Source organism: Homo sapiens, chromosome 18, assembly GCF_000001405.40.
Source record: "Homo sapiens chromosome 18, GRCh38.p14 Primary Assembly".
Classification (NCBI taxonomy): Eukaryota; Metazoa; Chordata; class Mammalia; order Primates; family Hominidae; genus Homo; species Homo sapiens.
Window position 1 is genome coordinate 3,247,482 of NC_000018.10, and position 20,628 is coordinate 3,268,109.

General features: G+C 41.2%; 2 protein-coding genes and 1 long non-coding RNA gene across 11 annotated transcripts in view, besides 5 other annotated features; 2 read left to right on the top strand and 1 right to left on the bottom strand.

Annotated features, from left to right (window-relative positions):
- On the top strand, nt 1-8,756 carry MYL12A (myosin light chain 12A). Of its 5 annotated transcripts, XM_047437270.1 has the most exons (6): nt 320-428; nt 1,880-1,962; nt 2,081-4,844; nt 5,752-5,947; nt 6,408-6,569; nt 8,265-8,756. In XM_047437270.1, exons 3-6 carry the CDS (start codon nt 4,842-4,844, stop codon nt 8,435-8,437), a joined length of 534 nt encoding a protein of 177 aa, XP_047293226.1. In that variant the 5' UTR covers nt 320-428; nt 1,880-1,962; nt 2,081-4,841; the 3' UTR covers nt 8,438-8,756. The 5 variants fall into 5 exon arrangements, with proteins under 5 accessions (NP_001289977.1, XP_047293226.1, NP_001289976.1 ...); NM_001303047.2 differs by lacking the exon at nt 2,081-4,844 and having other exon boundaries at nt 8,265-8,755; NM_001303048.1 differs by lacking the exons at nt 320-428; nt 1,880-1,962; nt 2,081-4,844 and adding an exon at nt 1-106.
- Nucleotides 27-256: an enhancer, noted in NCBI's record as "active region_13040". NCBI's record gives its function as "activates an Ori minimal core promoter by ATAC-STARR-seq in GM12878 lymphoblastoid cells {active_cell/tissue: GM12878}" and the evidence as "EXISTENCE:reporter gene assay evidence [ECO:0000049][PMID:35858748]".
- Nucleotides 547-626: a silencer, noted in NCBI's record as "silent region_9252". NCBI's record gives its function as "represses an Ori minimal core promoter by ATAC-STARR-seq in GM12878 lymphoblastoid cells {active_cell/tissue: GM12878}" and the evidence as "EXISTENCE:reporter gene assay evidence [ECO:0000049][PMID:35858748]".
- Nucleotides 1,389-1,458: an enhancer, noted in NCBI's record as "active region_13041". NCBI's record gives its function as "activates an Ori minimal core promoter by ATAC-STARR-seq in GM12878 lymphoblastoid cells {active_cell/tissue: GM12878}" and the evidence as "EXISTENCE:reporter gene assay evidence [ECO:0000049][PMID:35858748]".
- On the bottom strand, nt 7,955-14,878 carry MYL12-AS1 (MYL12A and MYL12B antisense RNA 1). Of its 3 annotated transcripts, NR_130145.1 has the most exons (4): nt 14,572-14,878; nt 13,791-13,849; nt 8,761-8,841; nt 7,955-8,357 (listed from the first exon to the last, which is right to left on the bottom strand). It is a non-coding gene; the product is annotated as an MYL12A and MYL12B antisense RNA 1 (long non-coding RNA). The 3 variants fall into 3 exon arrangements; NR_130144.2 differs by lacking the exons at nt 13,791-13,849; nt 14,572-14,878 and adding an exon at nt 14,129-14,337; NR_130143.2 differs by lacking the exon at nt 14,572-14,878 and having other exon boundaries at nt 13,791-14,337.
- Nucleotides 14,048-14,097: an enhancer, noted in NCBI's record as "active region_13042". NCBI's record gives its function as "activates an Ori minimal core promoter by ATAC-STARR-seq in GM12878 lymphoblastoid cells {active_cell/tissue: GM12878}" and the evidence as "EXISTENCE:reporter gene assay evidence [ECO:0000049][PMID:35858748]".
- Nucleotides 14,308-15,197: a silencer, noted in NCBI's record as "silent region_9253". NCBI's record gives its function as "represses an Ori minimal core promoter by ATAC-STARR-seq in GM12878 lymphoblastoid cells {active_cell/tissue: GM12878}" and the evidence as "EXISTENCE:reporter gene assay evidence [ECO:0000049][PMID:35858748]".
- MYL12B (myosin light chain 12B) overlaps nt 14,652-20,628 on the top strand; it is a 16,329-nt gene continuing 10,352 nt past the window's right edge. The window contains exon 1 of one of the 3 annotated variants that reach the window (NM_033546.4): nt 14,652-14,756. The gene's annotated coding sequence lies outside the window, so the exon portion shown is untranslated. Of the gene's footprint in view, nt 14,757-15,131; nt 15,304-20,628 lie in introns of those variants that run through there. The other 2 variants (NM_001144944.1, NM_001144945.1) reach the window with 2 other exon arrangements.

Genomic DNA, 20,628 nt, shown 5'->3' on the forward strand with positions numbered 1-20,628 from the left:
CGCCCTTCGCCGTGCCCTGGAATGTGCGGCCAGGCAAAGCCACAGGACGGACGCAACCATCTGCGGAAAGGATAGGGGGGAGGAAGACTTAACACTGCAACAACAGGTACAAAAAAGAAGGAAACTCAGTAACAGGACCCAGAGGACCATTATATATTGCTCTATATTCTAGGTCGCCCACTTTACACTTCCTTCTCATGCACTTGGTCAATACCACGCCCGCTGACCACACTGGCGACTTCCCTCTCTGTCGCCCCTCCGTGAAGTCAGACCCACTCTGCGGGCCAAGAAAGGTGACCGGGCTTCCTTCCGGCTTGCTAAGCAGAGGCCGGAAGCGGTGGTTTTTAGCGGCTCTCTGGGTAGCAGGGTGGTGTGATAGCGGCAGCGAGGGGCTCGGAGAGGTGCTCGGATTCTCGTAGCTGTGCCGGGTGAGTGGCGCTCGCGTTCGGGCGCGTGAGACCCATCCCGGGGACCCGTCTCCGCGGGGGCAGCTGGAGGGCGGCGGGGCTCCTGGCGCCGGTAGCGCACCTGGGCAGGTGTGCCAGCCAGGTCCCCGGTTCTGGGATCCGAGGCCATGGCTTGGAGTGGCCCAGACCCGAACTTCGCTCCTGTGCCCAAACTTGGAACTCTGGAAATGTGGCTTCGCTCACTGGCGCCTTGAGCTTGGGCGACTGCCGGGCCCGCGAAACCCGACCCCTGCAGAGCTGACTCCGGGACTATTTTAGTTTCTAACGTCAACTTGCCCGATTCAAGAGGGTTTGCGCAAAAACGTAGCCCGTTGTCCCCCTGCTGCAGCTGTTGTTGCAGCTGTGTGGCTGCGTTTAGTAGGAATAACCAACTCAAATTGGGAAGTTCTTCAGCTCAGTATCCGCTCCTGTAATTAGAACTTTTTTTCTTTAAGCGATGAAATTTTGGACAGAGAGATCTGGAGTTTAGTTTGTGACTCGAAGAAAAACTCCAAAATGTAATACCTTGTCCCATTTGGGGGGAAAGTTTGGGCTAATTCAATTCGCCATGGAAGTGTCTTCTTTTTAAAGTAGTTTAGTAGGTATATGAATGTATCTGTCAGTTCTTGAGAGACCTATGGATTTAGCAGAGATTTTAACTTAAGTGCAAAAAGTTTCATATTTAAAGGCGAATAAAGCGAATATTTCTTAAAATTATTGGTATTTGTTTCATGTTCTGGAAGGGCTCTAATAAACGGTAATCAGAAAAGCACTCTATTTTCAAAAGCGAGGCTTTACTGGCAAGTCAGCCCTCACAGCTAATTGTCTTTGTCCAGTGGTGAGAACTTTTGGGTGTGGCAGTCCAAGAGAACGAATCCTACCTTCAACCGGAAGTTTGCATAAGAAATGAAACTTGGTTTACTTGGAACGGAAGCACCAACTTGAAATACACTTTTTAAAAATTGTGGTTAGCACCAGAAAATAAGTTATACTTAGGCTTTTTTTTTTTAAGTGCATTGATTAAATGAGGCGGTATATTTGGTCAGGGTTTAGAAAGCCCACCAAATACTAGGTGCTATCACAGTACGCAGTGTTTTGTAAGATGGTGGTTTTTTCTTGCAGAATGTGTGATATTTCTCAGAATATTATCAATTTGAGTGTTCGTTTTGTAGAAGAAGTTTCTAGGTTATTTTACATTTATTGCCACTTTGTAAATAAATGCTGGACTCTAGGATTCTAACCACAGAACTCTAATGTATATATTGGTATGGATTAATCCCATTTTATAAATGAACATAGTTTCTAGAGATTCTGAAAACTTCTTGTGTCCTTTGGTGTGTGGGGAAAGCCACTTTGAGAATCTCTTCTATTTCTCCCACCTATTAATCTAGTCTAACATTTTCCTTAATCATGTTGTGTATCTCTCGTTACAGCCCACAATGATTCTGAGCTAAAACACAAAATAAAAACCAGATTCATTGCCACCAGCGCTCACCTCGCCTGACTTAAAAAAAAGGTTATGCTCCTTTAGATCTGTAAACTCAGTCTCCTAACTGCCCTTCATCCACTTTCTCATGCATCTGAAATCCTCATATTTTGTAGAAGCCTGTTCTGTAAGTCTCTCTACTTTCCAGTTTCGTACAACAGACACTCCTTGACACCAAGGATCTTTCACTTAATCCCTCAAAAATAAAGACTCGAGCTGGGTGCGGTGGCTCACGCCTGTAATTCCAGCACTTTGGGAGGCCGAGGCAGGTGGATCACGAAGTCAGGAGTTCAAGACCAGCCTGCACAAGGTGGTGAAACCCCGTCTCTACTAAAAATACAAAAATTAGCTGGGCATGGTGGTGGGTGCCTGTAATCCCAGCTACTCCAGAGGCTGAGGCAGAGAATTGCTTGAACCCTGGAGGTGGAGGTTGAGATCGCGCCACTGCACTCCACCCTGGGCGACAGAGCAAGACTCCGTCTCAAAAATAAATAAATAAAAATAAATAAGTAAATAAAGACTCGACTTTATGATTGAGGAGCTTCGTAATTTGGAAACCTCAGGTCCTTACCTGGCGATCTTTGCATCCTAAAGAATAATTACATTGACATGAAATCTTTTCAATTTATTTTACCCTAGCTTGCTTTTTGTAAAAAGCAATTTCAGGGGGGAGGGGGGAGGGATAGCATTAGGAGATATACCTAATGTTAAATGACGAGTTAATGGGTGCAGCACACCAACATGGCACATGTATACATATGTAACCTGCACGTTGTGCACATGTACCCTAAAACTTAAAGTATAATAATAAAGCAATTTCAACTTTTTTAGATTAAGGGGTATACCCTAGTTTTCTAAACTTCGATGAGAGTTGTGCATTTGCTGAAGGCTTATTACATGAAGAGTGACAGTCTAAATTGTTTGAAGGAAAGTAAAATGAACAACAAACTAGAATCAGCAAAGAGGACCCTGACAATATCAGAAATGATCTGCTCCTTGAGATCATAGCACTGTTCCTGATTTGACTCCCTCCACCATTATTTATTCTCCCCACACTTTTAGTTTGGTAGGGAAAAAACCCCACAGTTTCTGTATTTTGGAACAGTGACTGTGCAGCCAAACTCCCTATCGCTGAAAGGTTTCTGGTGGAAAATAACTCATAGATCAGAATCCAGCCTCCTTGAAAAAGTAAAGGCCTAGGTAGTAACTTCCTCAACATTACACTGCCAGTTTTTGATAGAATTAACTACCTTAATTTGTTAGAATTGAGACTAACAGCCGAATCTCTTCATTCTAACAATGCTTTGTAGCTTCTAAATGATCCCACACGGGGTTTTTCAAGGTCTTCCTCCTCCCCAATCCCTTAATTACTCAGAAACATCTTTTCTGAACTCACAGCATTTGATAATTATGTACCATGTTAGGAATTATTTTTCATTATTGTCACACGTTTTAAGTTTAGAGTCATACTTCTGGAATGAAAACTATGACTCATTTCATAAGTTGAACCAATCATCTCATTTCTTTATAGTTGCCTCCCCAACTATATTAAGCTCCTTGAAGATAGGACACATGCCTTACATTTCTTAACTCTTAGCTAGTATTCAACATAATTAATATGACGTTTGATACATATTAGTTTAATTAACTTCATAATAAAATTGATAAGATTAAGTATTGAATGTGCTGAAGAAGAGCTCTATATGAGGCCATTGTCAGTGCTGACCCAAAAAAAAAAAAAAGCTTTTTTACTTTAAAAATCTATTTTATAATACATTTACAATTCAAAAAAGTGCGTGATTAAAAGAATAGGAAATATATCAGAATTCAGAAAACATACTACTTTACAACCAAAACTAAGCATTTTGAAAATGTATCTAGAGGACCCTCGTAAATTTAGTTATATGAGATTTTATATAATAGATTAAAAAATCAGATGTGTCAGCCGTTTGACCTCATCAGTTTCTTTGTTCTTAAAATAGCTGACATTTCTGCATCATTAGGGAAAGACAATGTTGTCACACAAAACAGACTATTTTTAAAGATGTGCTTTGGCTTGCAAAGGCGTGACATGCCTAAAATATTAAAGCGATATGGACTGGTAAACGTGTCACTCATTGGGTTTCAACCTCTTGCTCCAAGTCCTTGCGTACATTTAAGAATTGGAGGAATAATATATTCTATATCTCTTTGTATTTTTTAAAGACAGCATTTATAACAGACGAGGAAAGTACATCCTCATGTAGTTTAGATGTGAATGGGATTTACTACCCCCAAAGGTGTTATAGAATGAAAATATGCATTTATGAATAGTTTTAAGTCATGAAAGGCAGCATCCTAAAAGTTGATTAAAGAATTCTAGGAAATTTGGGAACAGCATATATATCATAACTTCTGTGCTATGTAGGATATATCTTTTCAACAATATATTCCAGTTGCCATACGGTGCTGTATTGGATGGGCTGGAATTTGTGACTATCCTTTGTGGAATTTCCTATTAAAATCTGAAAACAGATTTAGCTTTAAAAAATTTGAGGCAGAGCTTTTCTAATCATTCCATAATTGTATTTAGTCTGGACGATATGGTTATAATCAAGGAAAGAATGTAAGAAATTACTTTTTAAACACATCGGAAACACATTCTTAGGGTCACTTTGGAGTGCTGAGATCTAGGTGGTAGTTCATTCTTTGCAGTCCACAGACTTATTTTTAGACCAATGGCATAGTGTTTTGCCAGATCATAGCTAAATGTTGTTTTCAGAACGTAAGCTTTAAAATTGTTATCCTGGTCAGAGTGAAATCAGTAGTGCCTATTTTAGACCTGCTTGGAAGAATATAACTCAATGCAGTGTCTTACTTTTGCTGCTGAGCGGTTTTGCAGACTACCATCTTCCCTGCAACTCTGAAGGATGGTATGGTAGAATTTTATTGTCTGATGACTGAGATTTTTAACTTGAAACAAATTTTTGTAGTTTTTAACAGATTGAGTATTGAAAATTGCCTTTTTATTTTAGGTATTATTAGACATTCTTTTTAATTTTAACTTAAATTTTACCGGGATAAATTTAGGTAAGAGAGCAAAGGTAGTTTCTACGTTTAAGATGTTTTCTAAAACTTTTAAAATTATTTTAAAAGCTTGTGCTCTGATTTCTGTTTAGAGATCTTAGATACTTCCAGTGATTTAGTGTGACTGTAATGCAAGAAACTGGTTTGGATAGAGTGCAATGTCTATAAAAACTATAGATGAATTCCCTTCAGTTTTTTTATACTTTACTATTAGCCTTTCAACAAATAGTTTTTTTGAACTACTTTTGCCTAGTGGTGAGGGTACAATAAAAAATGTTAGTTGAAAGTGAAAGCTTTAACAATATTTGTCAATAGAGATTAGGAGATGAAGACCTGTTCCATCAGTTAGTCATTCTTACTATTCTTCACCTTTCTGTCCACCGTACTATGGAATAGCCAGTTTAGGCTAAGGCTGCAAAGCAGGGACCTACTGAAGATGAATTAGTATCCCTCAGCACCCCTATACTGCTGAAGTATAGAACTTGGGAGTTTCCTAAGTACCTAATTTTTTTTGCTTCTTGGTTTTTTATTGTTATCAAATCAGCAGATTTGGTTATCAGCTGTTGTTAGTTATATAGCAGTACAGGACATATGTAATCTTGTTGAGATGTGTCTTCTAAAGACACATTTCTGAGTAGCTCAAACATATCAGGAAAGTTGGTTCTGTGTACTTTTGTTAATCATTGTTTTGATTCAAACTTAAGTAATCTTAGATGTTGATTTGGTTTTTATTGTATTTCCTTTCCTAATTAGGACTTAACCACCACCATGTCGAGCAAAAGAACAAAGACCAAGACCAAGAAGCGCCCTCAGCGTGCAACATCCAATGTGTTTGCTATGTTTGACCAGTCACAGATTCAGGAGTTCAAAGAGGCCTTCAACATGATTGATCAGAACAGAGATGGTTTCATCGACAAGGAAGATTTGCATGATATGCTTGCTTCATTGGGTAATGCTCAGTTTAAATATTAATCTATTGGATAGAATTTCCATGGTGCCTTTCATCTTGATTTCATGAGTCTTAAAGCTCTGTAAAGCCTGTCTAATGAGTCTACTAAGGTTTGAGTAAAGTGTGGAACAGTGTTTCCCACCGGATCACCAGCAGATTCGTGACCCTGTCTTAGGATTGGGTTGGGGTTCGTGTGTGTGTGTGTGTGTATAAAAACACTGATCTTGATTATGGAAGCAGTATTATTCCTTCTGACATTCCAATGGACTATCATATACTTTCCAGACTCTTTAATAGGCCCTATTCATTAAGAAAACTTTCCCCCCAAATAGTTTCACTCTCATGAGTGCAAACAGTAAACTGTATGAATGATAATCTTTGTTACCAAAATGTTTACTGTCATTAATAGTTGATATGTATTGTAATGTAATTAAAATTATGACCCCTTTTAAAAATTTAGGGAAGAATCCAACTGATGAGTATCTAGATGCCATGATGAATGAGGCTCCAGGCCCCATCAATTTCACCATGTTCCTCACCATGTTTGGTGAGAAGTTAAATGGCACAGATCCTGAAGATGTCATCAGAAATGCCTTTGCTTGCTTTGATGAAGAAGCAACTGGTAAGTGAGAGGTAACCTTTAATTATAAAGTGATTTAATTTTTAGTTATGGTAACTAAAATATACAGTAACTTAAAATATGATAACGCTCTCAGGTTTGTACTACACCTATTTTTTTAGACAGAGTTCTCTTGGCATGTTTGTCACTCACTTTGCTGCTTCTGCCCTAAGTAGTAGTTTACAATGAATAGGTTGTATTTGAAACCTCATTGGGAAGCTTATATTACCCCTTTCCTACCATGTTAACTCCACAAGGGTTAGGCTCTCAGAAAATATGTATTGAATAAAAAACTTTTACCAGAATAATCTTGATGAAGTATAAATTGTTATAGGCCATGCACCACTACAATCCTGTATATGTTTACCAGGTATCTGTCAGCTCTCAAATTGTTTAAATCTGACATCTAACCTTTATTTTAAAATACACCCAGTAGAACTTAGGGTCTGGAATTAGACTATCTGGCTTCAAATTCCTCTTCCACATAATAGCTGTATAATTTGGGGCAAGTTGCTTAACTTTCTCTAAGCCTCTGTTTTCTTATTTGTAAAATGAGCAGTATTACCTACCTCATAGGGTTGTTGTGAGAATTAAGTGAAGAAGTGAGATGTACATGAAGTACTTAGCATACTGTGTGGCACAGAGTTAACTCTCAAAAAAACAAAATGTTATCTATATAGGGGCCTGATCCTTTGGCAGAAGTGTATGTAAGAGAAAACATAATGAGGGAATATTTTCCGTGATTCCCAGCTCAACATGGCGTAGCCAAGTGTGTTTAGTGAAGGAAGGCACAATCTTTGGTTGCCTCCATTAGTGGGACGAGTTTAAATACTGGGTGGTTGCCAGGGCCTGCTGATGGAAGCATGGTCTGTGGCTTTCAAGGCTCCCCACATGTGCATGCCAGTTATTTGGGAAATCTTAAAAATACCAATACCAGAAAATAAATCGGGTGACATCAGATTCTTGTAGGCAGGCAGGTTTTATGAGAACCCTGGTATCAAATTCCCAAAGTAAAGAGCACACACCTTTCAGCTTACCACTGCACATCCCCACTGCCCAGCACAGTGCCTGCCACATAGTTAGTGCTCAAATATTTATTCCATGTTTTTGCATGTGCTGGGACTGGCCATATTTATTACAATAATTGGATTTGTAAACAGTAAAAATCTCATTTTACATCTGAGAAAACCAAAGTCAGGGATGAAGTGAAATGCCTGAAATAAAATAGCTTCTTAAAACTGGGCCTCAAGCTTCCGGTATTCTTTCCACTGTACCACTTTATTGATGTGTATGATGTAGTGTTGATTTTAGCCTGGCAGGTAAATGTTACTTGTTTGTAGAATAAGATGTGACCATTCATGCCACTTGAAGGAACCGTAAGGCTTAGATTCTTTAACCATACTTTTTATTACTTTGTTTAGGCATAGGTTTAGTCTCTCTTATCAAGAGATCAGAAGCTGAATGTGGAGGCAGAATGATAGAGCAAATGATAGAGCGGAGCAGTGCTGCTAAGCAGCTAGGCATTTTTCTAGGCACTTCTCTGCTGAGGCTGTTTTAAGTAGGTGGACACCCTGTAGTTCATATATTTGCATGTTTATAGTTTGTAACATACAGAACATGCTTAGTCAAGTATAGATATTCTTTGTAATTAACCCTCAGAATAGTATGTATTCTGATCCCTTGTTCTTTATTCTCCAGGCACCATACAGGAAGATTACTTGAGAGAGCTGCTGACAACCATGGGGGATCGGTTTACAGATGAGGAAGTGGATGAGCTGTACAGAGAAGCACCTATTGATAAAAAGGGGAATTTCAATTACATCGAGTTCACACGCATCCTGAAACATGGAGCCAAAGACAAAGATGACTGAAATAACTTCAAATTCCAGCCAAACGTTCCTTGTTGCCACTTTGGGTATTCTGAGATTTTCTCTTGCATGCCCTTAGCTTTACAGCTTTTGCATTTCCTGTTGTATTTATTCTCAGCCATTTTGGGCATATGTATCTTTATAATCAGACTGGAAACGGGACTTTCTATTAATATCATTTTCAGAATAAAAAATAGGATAATTTAACCTACCAGCCCTTCTCCCCCAATAACTGTGGTCTATACAGAGTCAATATATTTTTTCAGAGAAAGTTATTCGCTCGATTTTTTCTGAATCATAATTAAACTTTATGATAAAATACTTACTTGTTTAAACTTCTTATTTACCAAACTTGGCTTTTGTTGGTTTCAGTCGTATCTCCCAAAGAAAGGTAGATGAGGGAAATCCTAGAAAATGATATGGTTGTTAGCTTTCTCTTCCTCCAGTTTTCCTAACAATCCTATCTCCTCTACTATCCATTCCTCCTCCTCCTCCCAAGGATATCCAATTTTAACTGCCCTAATCAGGTTTTCTGCACTTTGTCTTCCAATTTTTAAAATAATTTCCTGTAGAATTTGCATATATGATAGTTTCCATAGCTTTAAGTCCTTAAGTTGACATACCTGCCAACATTTCCACTTTATTTAAACTTTTGTAATTTCTGGTCATTTAAAATTAGACCAGGTTACTGAGTATAATTTCAATTTGTCATATTTTTAAAAACCATTTTGGCTTAAAGGTTCTGTGGAATGCTACCAAAGAGAGATTTTTATGTTATGTTTTAAAGTGCTGGAAATATAATGCAGTATTTTTTTTATTATATGTAGTTTTTCTTTAACACAGCAATGTGTATTGAAAGATATTTGTTTATGCAGAGATTCACCATGAGTCCATGTTTGAGTTTTGGACATTCCTGACCTTCCCACAATCAAAACAGCTGAACCTGCATGCCTGGGAAAGTGAGGTCATTATTTCAGTCCTAAAAATAACTTCTACTATTTGCAGAAATGCAGAACTGTTTCACAGTTAATCAGGGAGTGGCAGACAGTTTCGTTCTTTTTCAGCTTTAAAAATCTGACTCTCAAAGGGCTTCAAGATTCTCTTTTTTTTCCAGACAGGGTCTCTCGCTCTATCACCCAGGCTGGAGTGCAATGGCACGATCACAGCTCACTGCAGCCTTGACCTCCTGGGCTCAAGTGATCCACAGCCACCTGAGTAGTTGGGACTACAGGCAGGCACCACCATGCCTGGCTAATTTCTTAATTTGTTGTAGAGACAAGGTCTCATTATGTTGCCTAGGCTGGTCTAAAACTCCTGTACTCAAGTGATCTTCCCACCTCTGCCTCCTAAAGTGCTGGGATTACAGGTGTGAGCAACCATGCCCAGCCCAAAACTCTGACTCTCAAAGAGCATGAGTTTTAAAAGATTTGAAATGGAGAAAAATTTGGTTGAAAAGATTTGACAATTAGCCTATGAAGATGAGTAATTGACAATTACTATAATAACTTTAAGTTTTATGCTACGATTAACATGACTCTCCTTGGACAAAACCATTACCTCATTCAGTAAACAATTACTAAAAGCCTTCTGGGCAGCAGGCCTTTGCAGCCAATAAGATAGATCAGCTAGATCCTGTAACGTGGGAAGGCCAGTGCTATAGGAATAGAAGGACTAGTCAAAGCTAGTCCTTGACCTCTTCAGCATTAGAATCTTAGAACCTGCCTTCATTCTTTGTCTTTTGTTTCTGAATTTTATTCACTGGTTAAGCCAAAATACTTTTTCCAGGCTATGGCCATGGTGCTAAAATCTTGTTTTTTGAATTGAATTTCCATGTCAAGAGAAAAAATTATCATATGCTTTGTTACATCTCTAGTGAAGAACAGATAGCATTGTTTGCACTATATGAAAAACAAGGTACTACTAAAAGGATCTCTTGCAGGGCCCCTGTTTCCCTTTCAGATAAGTGCTTAATGAACCAACTTGCATTAAGAACAATGATGTACCCTGAATGAAATAATTCTCCTAATTTAGTAATAGCATTCTTTGCTTAAACAAGAGTGATTGCCAACAGAAAGGTAAAAGCATCCATTTCAATGGTGTGTTTGACTGAAAAATCAGTCTCAAAAGTTTCCATGATGAAAGTCATACTTAAACCATTTCAAAAGATCTGGCTAGGCACGTTGGCGCACATCTGTAATCCCAGCACTTTGGAAGGTCGAAGTAGGAAGACTGCTTGAAGCCAGAAGATTGACATCAGCCTGGGCAACAAAGCAAAACCCCATCTCTACATAAAAATTAAAAATTAGCCGGACATGGTGGTGGGTGCCTATAGTCCCAGCTACTCTGGAAGCTAAGGTGGAAGGATTGCTTGAGCCCAGGAGTTTGAGGCTGGAGTGAGCTGACTGTGCCACTGTACTCCAGCCTGGGGTGACAGCGAGACCCTGTCTTGAAAAAGAAAACAAAAATCGGACAAAACCAGCCTAATGGGGGTGGCATCCTTATCCACCTGCATATGATGATATGGTCATTTTGATTCCAGGCCCCAAATTTTACTTGATGAAAGAATCTATAACTTGATGAGAGCAGGAATTGAATGCTCCTGGGAAAGAAAGGAGGAAGGCCTGAGCATAAGAGACAAGTAACAGCAAATTGAGAAGGAAAGGAAACCATTTGCTACAAAGTGAAAAGAGGAAGGACAGCAAGAGGCTTAACACCTAGACTTGAGGATCAGATAAAAAATGATCAGAGTTTGGAGAGGTAAATAGAGCCACAAAAACAGTCTTACGGAAACCTAGTTAATTTCAAGAGTAAGGAGGTTGGCAGTGTCCAACACAGAAAAGTGGAGTATGGGAAGGTTTAAATGAGACCCTCCCAGATGTGACAAGTCGTTAGTCATGTTTGCTAGAGTTATTAGAGTTCTGAGTGCAGAATCCATAATGCAGCACAGGATAGTGAATAATGCCTAGGTGTGGGGTCAGGCAGACCTACACTTAATTCCCGTTTGTTGCTACGTCATGGCTCTATAACCTTAAGTCAGTTATTTAAACTTCCTTGGCCTATTTATTCATTTATAAAACGGAAATAATACTGTTGGTTCATATTAGGAACATAATATATAAAGCAGCATTTGTGTGATTAAGAGCAGCACGGATTTGGAGCCATACTTAAGTGAATTGCACCTGCCTATTTGACTTTGTGTTCTTAATTGCCAGTTTCCTCATCTGTAAAATGGCCAATACCATCCAAGTTTCTTCTGAAAATTAGAAGCATGAAAGACAAATGGTCTGGGACACATTAGGTCTCCAAATAGTAGTTATTTTGTTTACGAGTGGGCCAGTGAGAAGGGGCAAAGGGCATATCTTCAAATTCAAGCCTGTTTATAGGCAGAGTAGAAGACAACAAACTAGGGGGGAACAATTAGTGAAACAAAATGGATCATGTCTAAGAGCTAGGATGTGACAGAACCTAGACCACGTAGGATTGCCCTTAGAAAAGTGGATGGATTTCAAGGTAGAATTTCATTAACAGGTTGTTAGGAAGATTTTATAAGACTATGCATACAAATGCCTGTCAGTTTGGTACTAGTGGATTCTGAAATAGTTCACTTTCGATTTCCTGAGCAGGTCCAATATGCCAGACTTGTGTGTGTCGAATTAGGTCCTCTTCACGGGTACAGTTTATTTTTTCTGTCCATAAAGGGATTGTAGTAGCTAATCCCACATTGAAGAAATGCCCAGTTTTCCCATTGCTGCTTATTCGAGTCATTTCCACTTGCTCTTCCATCTTCCAAGTCCCTATATCTTTTTAGTCTAGATTTCTCTGTGTCTGCTCAAATAGCAGGAAATGTGACTTTTCTCCAGTATTTATCCACACACATTTTAGAGTTGTAATGAGTTTACAACTTGTTTTTTCGTTTACTACTTAAATTATATCTCATGTTTTGGCATAGCCACCATTGTTTTGAGTATATTTCTTTTTCAACCATTCTTAACTTCAGTTATCTTTGATGTGGGCATGCTATAATTAACAATTTCCCAATGATAGATATTTAGCTATCCAGCTATTTTTATTAGTGAATAAATTTTTATTCATGATTAAACAAAGCCTATTATAGGCTTTTCTTTTGCATCTAGAGAGAACAATATACCTTAGAATTATTTCTTCAGAATAGTGCTGTCAAATAGAAGCTTCTGTAATTAAGGAAATGCTCTCTGTGCCATACAATAAGGACACTAACCACATGTGGCTATTGAGCACTTAAAATGTGTCTAATACTAGCCAGGCGCGGTGGCTCACGCCTGTAATCCCAGCACTTTTGGAGGCCCAGGTGGGCGGATCATGAGGACAAGAGATTGAGACCATCCTGGCCAACATGGTGAAACCCCGTCTCTACTAAAAATACAAAAATTAGCTGGGCGTCGTGGCACAGGCCTGTAGTCCCTGCTACTCGGGAGGCTAAGGCAGAAGAATCACATGAACCCGGGAGGCAGAGGTTGCAGTGAGCCGAGATCAAACCACTGCACTCCAGCCTGGGCGACGGAGCAAGACTCCGTCTCAAGAAAAAAAAAAGTGTCTAATACTGCCAGACGCACTGGTGCGGTGTCTCTCACCTGTAGTCCCAACTACTTGGGAGGCTCAAGTGAGAGGATCGCTTGAGGCCAGGAGTTCCAGGTTGTAGTGCATTATGATCACGCCTGTGAATAGCCAGTGCATTCCAGGTTAGGCAACATAGGGTGACCCCATCTCTAAAAATAAAACGTATCAAATACAACTGAGGAACTAAATTTAAGTTTAGCTGCATGTGGTTAGTGACGATTGTATTGGACAGCACAATTCTAGAAACTTTTTTTTTTTTAATTTAGACTATCGAACCAAAACCTAAGAGTAAATATTGTAGAACCAGGTGTGACTTTTCAGCAATTGCTTTTCTAACACTATTGAGAAAATACACACAGTTATGAACCGCGTTTAGAGCTGTGCTGCTGGGATGGCGACCACCCCATCAGCATCATGTGTGCTTACCAGAAATTCGAATTATCCTCCACCCCTTACTCACTGAATCCTGATACCCGGTTTTGAGGCTCAAAAATGTTTTTAAAAGCCCTGTTATTATGCGTGCTACTGTTTAAGAACTGCTACAGAGTGCTGAACACAAGGTCCCTCTCTTCTAGGAATTTCTGATCAAAGATTTCTAGAATATAAACTCCCTAAGAGGCTTTGAATTCATCTCTCAGCATCCGGCACATGTTAAGGCAGTAAGAAGAGTTCAATAAAGATTTGCTATTAGATTGCCGATCCTCCACCATCCTGAAGTAATGCTATTTTAGTAATGCTAGATGAAGTAATGCTAGATTACCTCAAGGTGAGGGAAAATATCCTGAAGAACACAGCCACAAACACGATCTAGAACAAAACCTGAAAAACGTAGCTTTGTGTTTTTATTTGTGTGTGCATGTATGTGTGTGCGTTGCCATTTTCTTGATAAAGGAAAGCAAGTAGTTCGAATAAAACTTTCTTGTGGCCAAAAGGGGAATCAAACAGCCGTAGGCTGCGGCCGTAGCCTGATACGGCCGTAAACCTTATGAGGGTAAGCAGAGAGGAGTAGGTTAAAGAATTTAACTCGGGCTGTAATGCGGTTTGAAAAGAGAAAGGGATTCTGGAACGGAGAAGAATCCGCCCAGGCGCCGCCCTCACCTTCTCAACATTACATGAGACGAACCCTAAAACCTGTCTTGTCTGAAATTCAAATTTAGAAGAACTGTACTTTTACTTGCTACATCTGGCAACTCAGGGTTCGGCGCCAGGGGACCCCAAATCCTAGGCGGATCGCGCCCCGCCTGGGTCAAAGGGGACCCCAAATCCTCGGCCGATCGCGGCCCACTCGGGTCAAATTCCAGCGGCCTGCCCAGCCGCGCCCAGCGGGCCCAGGAATGCGGAAGGGTGGCGGAGCTACCAAAGGAGCGGGGGACGAGGGCCGGGCTGCGGACGACCGCCGCAGCGCAGGCCGCGATATCGCAGCGGATCGGAGCAGGCCGGAGGGGCAATTAAGACCCCGGCCGTGTGCGTCCGGCCTCAGCAGCCCCGCCGCTCGGCGGACACGCAGACCCCGCCGGCCCGGGCGCGAACACTCAGCGCACCCCCGTTCCACTTGGTCCCGCCGCGCCTTCCGGTGCGCCTTCCGGTGCGCCTTCCGGTGCGCCTTCCGCTCCGCCCCTTCAGGCAGGAAGTGTCGGCGCCGCCACTGTCCGGCCACAGCCTAACGCTCTTCGCTGTCGTTTGTGGTCTCGCGCAGGGCGGCCCCGGTTCTGGTGTTTGGCGTCGGGTGAGTCGCGCTCGACTCTGCTCGCGAGACCCCTCGGGCCGCCGTCTCCGTACCCCCGCGCCCCCTCCCGTCGCGCGCCTGCGGCCGGACCCCGCCCCAGGGCGGCCAGGCGGCGGCAGGACCTGTCAGACTGGCTGAGAAGGGGGCGCGGGGCCGGAGGTGGAGGGAGGAGGGTTGGCGGCGGGAGGAGGGTTGGTGGCGAGGCCCTGGCCCGGACGTCCAGGGGCCGGGAGGCTGCAGGCGATGGAGCCGGTATGGGGAGACGCCCTGCTGGAGAAGTGGCCGGGTCCCGGCCGTGCGTGGGCCGGCCCTGCGCCACCTGGGTGACCTCAGACACCTGGGCCTTGGACGGCCCGGCTGCCCGGCGGCCAACGCCTGCCCTCCCGGCGCCGCGGCGGGTCCTGGCGGTGGATTGGGGCCGACCCGGGCGTGTTCGTGTGGAGCACCTGCCCTGTGCCCAACACTATCCTAGATGCTTTGGAGGGTGGAGGAGCCTCCTGTTGCACGGTCTTGCCTAAGGTGAAGCCTCCAAGGAAGCCATTAGCATGCCGGTAACCGAGTGTGTGGTTGATACGGGCTCAAATGTGATGATTTACATAGAGTTGTAATTCGCTCAGTGTGTCTTGCATCTTGTAAAGGTTTAGTTTATTCGTGTTGATTGAAGAAAGGACCATTAACAGAAATAGGGAAAGGTTACTTGGAAAAGAGTCGTGACCTCACTGAAGGCCTTGGATTCAACCTTAAGAGGGAGAACTTAGCGTTTCCGGCTAGATGTGTGGGAGGTGGTAACGAGCAAAACTCAAAAGCTGGGAATTGTGTCCTGTGAAAAGCAGGCCGTGGGGACACCGGCGGGTATGGAACAGAACTGTAATGACTAATAGTCGGAAATAAGGGTAGATAGGTAAGTAGGACCTTCTTATGGATGTCTTGAAAACTTAGGAGAAAGAAAAGATTATCTAAGAAGCCATAGAGAGTAATTTTGGAGTCTTCACTAACGGAGTAATAAGAAAGGGATGTTTAGAGGATTCGTTTGGCCGCTTTAGTTTAAGGTAGATTTGGAATGGTCTTTTGGTAAGAGAAGAATCAAAGCATTTAGAATTCAGTAGGACCTGATAGATTACCTTGTGAAGGCTTTGCGTTTTATAACTGAGGAAAGTGAAACCCAGAGAGGTGAGGTAATTTGTCGAAGGTGGTGGACCCTCCTGGACTTTATAACTAAGAGCACTTTTGAGTGCTTTAGGCTCTTTTGAGTGAAACAGCTTTTATGATGGCTGACTCGATGTTCGTTTATGCTTTGATGAAACTAAGCTTGAACAAGATGAACTGCAATTTCTGAAGGACAGATGTCCAGACAAGAGTTGCTAGGGTTAGGAAAGAACAGGATTTAGAGCCCCGACATGGGGCTAGTTTTCCCTTTCTCCCAAGATTCAAAGGCTCCAGGTATATCTGGGGATGAGTTTATCATACCCTTTTTGCCAGCATCTTTGTGATCTTCCTTCCTCATTCTACACATTAGCTTTGGGGTGTCATTGCTTGTTATGCCCAGGTATCCACATTTTCATGGTAGAGAATTTCAGCTGCCTGTATGCAGGATGTTACTGGCTAGTGGTTCAAGCTCTGGAGCTAGATTTCCTGAGTACAGATCCTGACTGAGCTCTGCCATTTTCTAGCTGTGTGGCAAGTTGTTTATTCTCTTTACCCTGATTTTCGTATCTGAGAGAAGAGGATGATAACAATACCTATATGATGAGTTGTCGTGAGGATTAAATGTGTTAACACATACAAAATGCTTAAATCAGTGCCTGGCACATCTTTAGCACCCAGTTGTCCCTGGTTGCTACTGCTTCTTCCAGGTATGGAGCAGTGGGTAGCTACTAAGTTTCCTTAGGGATCTCTTGGGGAAGAGACTGGAACCATAGGTAGACCGTAGAGAAAAGCCTCATGTTGGAATTCAGATCCGGGACCTACCTTGTAATGAACATATATGTGTAATTCTGTTTGTGACAGGAAAGAACTATATATGTATATACACTATATACAACTGTGTATACTATACATATATTTATACATATATATATGTATTTGCTTAACTAGGATTATTTGAGCACCTGCCATGTGCAAGGCACACTGCTAAGTTCTGCAGTCCAAGGTGGAAAGGCAAAAGGCAATAAAAAGAATGAATATGGCCAGGCATGGTGGCTCATACCTGTAATCCTAATGCTTTGAGAAGCCAATGTGGGGGGATCATTTGAAGCCAGGGGTTCAAGACCAACCTGGGCAACATAGCGAGACCCTGTCTCTACCCTGCCACCCACTCCTTGCAAAGTAGCTGTGTATGGTGACTCATGCCTGTAGTCCCAGCTGCTCGAGGCTGAGTCAGGAGGATCACTTGAGTCCAGGAGTTCAAGGCTACAGTGAACTATGATTGTGCCATAAACCCAATAAGAGAGGTGAATTTCAAAAACATTGTATTGAATGAAAGAAGACAGGCATATATATGAATATATACTGTACAATTCCATTTATAAGAAGTTCAAAAACAAAACTAATCTATGGTGATAGAAATCTGAACAGTGGTTGCCTATGGGAGATGGTGATTAACTTGGAGAGAATTTTCTGGAACAGTGTTAACATTTGTAACTTAATGGGGGTGATGGTTACATGGGTATACACATTATAAAAACTTATTAAGGTTTGTACATTTGACTATATAAATTTCACTGCAGTAAAACAAAATGATATAGGAGCTCAGAGAATAGAAAGTTTGCAGCCAACTGTAATGATCATAAAACCTATAATAGAGAAAGAAATGTCATTGTTATAATGTGTATGTGGTAAGTGTTAAAATACATATAGAGTACTAGGGGAAATGCTTCCCTGGTGTTAAAAAAAGTTGAAAAAATTGAGTTTGGCTCCCTAAAAAAAATACTTCTAATAATTTATGGAACTATTTTTTTGCCTAAATATGCAGCACAAAAGCAATTATATGTCATTAGGTAGATGAGGTTACTTTTGTGAAGTATTTTTAACTTGATATATACTAAATTCTGTTTATGACTGCTGTTTTCGGACTGTTGCTTATATATCCAGTCATTTGAGTCTTCCAGTTAGAACATTCAACTTGACTACAGTAATAACCATAAGAATCCATGAGAAATTTCTAAAGATTCTGATAGACCTTGGTGAAGATGAGGTGGAGTAAAAATGACCTTAGGTTTTAGCCCAAGAACTACTCTCTGCTTTTCTGTGTGAGTTCATCTACTCTGAGGGCTTTACCTTGTGCCTCTGCTCACAAATCAGCACTGCTAACAAGACCCTCTCAGAGTCCTGTCCTCTACTAGCATTCTACTGTGGCCCAGATAAAATTTGAGTTATTTATCATCCTTTGCTGACAAAACCAGCTCCTCCCTCCCCTCCCCAATTACCTCATTTTTGAGTGGTAGCTTTATACTACCAGGTTTTCAGTCAGCACTTAGGAAAAAGGACAGAGCTTTGAGACTCCAATTAGAAAGCAGGAATAACTAGCAAATCAGGAAGTGATTTGCTGGTCAGAGCCAGAGGAATTCAGCCAAAAGAATAGGATGGTGGTGGTGGGAATGTTGAGGAAGGGTGACTCGTGCAGTAAAGAGAAGAACCTACAGAACTTGGATGGAAACTGAGTAGAAGGACTTTAAACTTTTCTGTTCAGAAATGGAAAATTCCCCGTGCTATGCAAATTTGACTGCGGTCCCTTGGAACTTGGACTGTGGCTGTAATTCTGAAATAAAGGCATTGCCCTATTTTAACATTAAAGAGGTCAAGGAGACAGTGGCTTTATTACTTTTCTATTGGTGTATAACAGAATACTCCAAAACCTAGCACCTCAGAAACAATGAACAATTTTTGAGGGTCAGAGCCAGAGCAGCTTAGGTGGGTGGTTCTGGCACAGGGTCTCTCATGAGGTCACATGGGGAGGCTGCAGTCGTCTGAAGGAAGATCAGCCTCCAAGATGGCTGACGCATAGCCGACAAGTTGGTGCTGGCTGTCGGCAAGAATCCTCAGTTCCCTGCCACATGGATCTCTCCACAGGGCTGTGTGTCTGCATGACCTGGCTCCCGCCGATTGAGTGATCCATGACAGAGCAGGGCAAAAGCTGCAAGGTGTATTATGACAAAGCCAAACACCCTCATTTCACAATATCTTATTGTCACAATATCTTACTGGTTACACGGGTCAACACTTTTCATTGTTGGAGGGGACTGCACAAGGGCATGAAAATTGTTGAGGGCTTTCTTGGAACCTGGCTACCACCATGACCAGAGGAGCAAGTTAAAGTGTTCTGAGGGGTCAGACAGATAACAAACTAATACCAGCTGGGATAAGGAGATGTAGGGAGTAGAGGGGATTGCTTGTTGAACACTTATGGCCTGCAGGAATTTCCAGGATGCTGGTCAAGTGATTCCTTATTGTACAGTTGTTTAAAATATCTGAAATTTAGGTTATGTAAAATGTTCAGTTTTTTTTAAATGTTGGCAAACTAATTCAGTTTTTAAAAGAGGCATTTTAAAGGTCATCCTGGGGATTACTAAATGAACCTCTGTGCAGACTGCATGTAGTTTGGTAGCTGCCAGGTTATGACTTCTGATCTACTTAACACTTATTTAATGGATGAGGAAAATGAGGCCTGGGGAAGCCGAAATGACCAGCAGTCATACAACTTGTGAATGATAGAACTGGAATTGGAATCCATGTCTCCAGCATCTCCATTAAACCATAATGACAACATTGAAAAACTAAGGGGAACTAGATGCATAAACAGCCAATGTGATCTAAGTGGTTAACTTAATAATCTAAGTGGTTCTCAACCTTCAATGTGCATTGAAATCACCTGGTGCGTTTTTGAAAATACAGATGCCTGGGCTCCACCCCCAGACATTCCATTACCTTGAGGCTATAGGCATCACTTTTTTGAAACTTCTGAGGTGATTCTGATGTGCAGCCAAGATTGAAACCAGAGGATTTAACTGCTTTAAGAGCCGTATTTACTTGCTCTAGCTGACTTGAGATACTTAAAGGAAGAAGCCTCAAAACAATGTTGAGGAAATCATAGGTAGCTGACAGAATGTGCTCTGTGAGCATCTTCCCCAAGCTTTGATAAAGCAATATATGCTGAAGTATATAGACAATTTCTGCTTATTAATGATGATGGTGTCCATGTTTCTGTTTGCATATCAGTACTGCAGGTGACTTTACAAACATTTTTATTATCAACTAAGTATGTTGATACCACAGCCACCTATAATACATAATACAGTAGTCCTATATGATGCTTCTTTCCACGGTCCATGGTTTTGCTTCCTCGGTTTCAGTTGCCTGTGGTCAACTGAAGTCTGAAAATAAGTGAGTACAGTACAGTGAGATATTTTCAGAGAGAGATCTCATTCACATAATTTTTATTACAGTGTATTATAATTGTTCTATTTTATTATTGTTAATCTCTTACTGTGCTTAATTTATAAATTAAACTTTATCGTAGGTATGTATGTATAAGAAAAAACAGTGTATATAGTCATTCATCTGTATCTGCAGAGGGTTGGTTCCAGGACCCTCCTGCAGATACTAGAATCTGCAGATGCTCAAGTCTCCCATATAAAATGGCATAGTATTTGCATATAACCTACACATATCCTCCTGAATACTTTAAATCATCTCTAGATTGCTTATAATACCTCATATAATGCAAATACTATATAAATAGTTGTTATAGTGTATTTTTTATTTGTATTTTTATTGTTGTATTTTTCCAAATAAATGAACAATTGATTCTCGGTTGAATCTGTGAGTGCGGAACCTGTGGATATGGAGGGCTAACTGTATGGGTTGGGTACTATCC